We start from the raw sequence: 2,511 nt of genomic DNA, 5'->3' as shown, positions 1-2,511 counted from the left end.
CCCCCCACCCCCATATTGGCCCTTTTGAGGTATAGGTAATCTTTTTCCCAATGGACCCTCCTGTCTGCAATATACCCACTGGTTAGGACCCCCAGTGGGGTATTTCTTTTTGTGGGGATCATGGGGCCCAGGGAGGCTCTACCTTAAGTGGAATTCCTGGGGAGTACCCTCAGGGTGGTCTAGAGTTTCCTTGAGTCAGAGCAGCTATCAGCATGGTGGCTTGCTGTTGCATTTTTTCATTGTTCTGACATTGATCTTTGCTGATGAATACCTTGAAAACAATCTTCACCAATTGGGACAAAGACATGGTCAATGTTCCTTTTTGTGCCTTCCTCTGAATATCAGAGGCACTTTTGCTAATAAACATCATGTATATTATCTTAATTTTCTGGTGCCTTAGTGTCAATACCACTATATTGCCTAAGTGCTTAAAAAAAAGTGTTCCAGGATTTCTGAGGGGCTCTACCTGGGTTCTTGTTGTACTTCTTGAAACTCAAGGCTTCTCTGCTTTGGTATTCCTTTACGGTGTCTGGCCAGAGTGAAATCATGAGCACAATAATGCCCAAGCTTATCCCTACCTCCAGTGTTAACATTCTACTTAGGGTTGGCTGTGGGCACTGTGACCTGGGCAGCTGCCCACACTGGGTTACTGGGGGAATCAGCATACTGGGGGGATCTACCTCTTCTCTAGCCTTTTCTAAGACCATTTTCTGTTCCTCAGACATTAAGTGTGTTTAACAAGCTTTAGACACTGACCCTGGTGCGGTTATAAGTTGCAAAGATAAAGGGGAAATTTTTCATTTTTGATCATCCCAATAGGTGGGCAAGTCATTTTTCCGATTAAGCCAGAAGTAGATAATGAGGAATAGACCCAAACAAGCCCTATGGATTGCCCTGTGTCAGCATCGGTCCCTCCATGGGGAGCTATTAATGGGGGAATTGCCCTGCTAGAGCTAAAGTGGTGCCCTGGCCAAATTTGGTTCTCTGACAGTAGCAACAAGGGAAACCATTGCTGTAGCTCCAGGTTCCTGCCCTTTTGAAGGCAGGGAGTCTGATTCAAGTGCTTGTGGCATGGTCACATCTCTCCCATGAAGTTGGGGAGGTGAAATCAATGGCTCATTCAACTGAACTAGCAAAGTATTGTCATCCTTCTCCTGTGATTCCACTAATACAAAATTGTTTGCATTAACATTCCATTGTACCATGATTTTGCATTTTTCTGTAACAGCTTTTGTCAAAGCAACACAAAACATTGTACATAAGGAATTTCATTCAATTTTTCTTTCTTACACAACAGGTGTAACTACAAGATGGCATTATAATTAAGGAAAACATTTTCTGGCCTCTTTCCCTGTATTCTAATGAGTACTGGGGCCGGGCTGTATTATAAAGAAAATCACTTTCTATGTGTTTGTAGGTAAGAAACCCGATTTTGGAGGAGACAGCCCAATGGACTGCTTTGGGGGGAATCAAATTAGCGTTTTCCATATCAACCAAGACAAAACTCCACTGTACACACAACAAACACAAGCTGCTCTGCTCAATGCCCGAGTTCAACCTGGCAAGGCTCACACTTGCCCCAGCTAGTACCTGACACTATCGATCCATACAATGTGGGGGAGACATGACCCCCAGCCAGTAATCTAGCAAATGGTCACTCAGTGTGATAGAGCAGATGGCCACCCTGAGTTAGGCTACCAAGCTGCTGACTACTCTGGGACTCACTAACTGCAAGTAGTAAGACAGAACAGGTTCCAAGTCAGGCCAACTGAGCTTTCGCCAGCAACTCCTTTGGGGTTTTCATACAAACAAGACATGATGAAACATAAGGTCTCACAAGTCAGTTCCGTAATTTGATTTTGAAACTAAGACCCAGACAAGTCTAAGAGTACCTCTCCCAGAGAGGATCCTCTATTCCCTTTTTGGTTGGAATAAGTCCCTCCCACCCACCCACCCTCGCCCTCAGCAAGTCTTTTCCTAGTGATAAGGGAGGGTCAACAAGACCTCTGGAGAGGCTACAGGACCTCCAAGGAGGTAAACAAGTTAGAAGGAAAAGTGGGTTCTTCCAGGTCCAGATACCATATTTCTGCTGGAAACAAGTGTATGCACCAATGCTGAGCAATGCCCAGCCAGCAGGGAAGGCTTCAGAGATAGTCCATGTCTTCAGGAGCCAGGTGACCTCTTGAGTTTGTCTCTGAGCAGACTGAAATGACAAGTAGGGAAACCGAGCCATGGACAGATTCCCACAAGGGGTCTCCTGGCTAGATTGCCATTAAATATCATAATTGTAACAGATTCATTGCCTGATGCCTGGCAAGTCAATATACTGAGACATTGAGGGTTGCAGCAGTGTTTAATCACAGGGCCACCCAAATGGGAGAGAAGAAAACCTCAAATCCACCTCCCTGAGAAGTTTGGAAATAGAGCTTTTAAGGACTCTGGACAGATGGCAGGCTGAGGTGTAGGGGATCACTGACTTGTCCTGAAAATGAGAAGTTAAGTCATGTGACA

The 2,511-nt window shown here is 45.2% G+C and overlaps 1 annotated feature.

Annotated features, from left to right (window-relative positions):
• Nucleotides 1,413–1,585: a silencer, noted in NCBI's record as "fragment chr6:40017247-40017419 (GRCh37/hg19 assembly coordinates)". NCBI's record gives its function as "represses an EF-1alpha promoter that drives an FKBP-Casp9 reporter gene in an ReSE screen in phorbol 12-myristate 13-acetate-treated (for megakaryocytic differentiation) K562 erythroleukemia cells {active_cell/tissue: K562(+PMA)}" and the evidence as "EXISTENCE:reporter gene assay evidence [ECO:0000049][PMID:32094911]".

This window comes from Homo sapiens, chromosome 6, assembly GCF_000001405.40.
Source record: "Homo sapiens chromosome 6, GRCh38.p14 Primary Assembly".
NCBI lineage: Eukaryota > Metazoa > Chordata > Mammalia > Primates > Hominidae > Homo > Homo sapiens.
The sequence above is the reverse complement of the archived record's forward strand: the minus strand, read 5'-3'. Positions and strand labels throughout refer to the sequence as shown.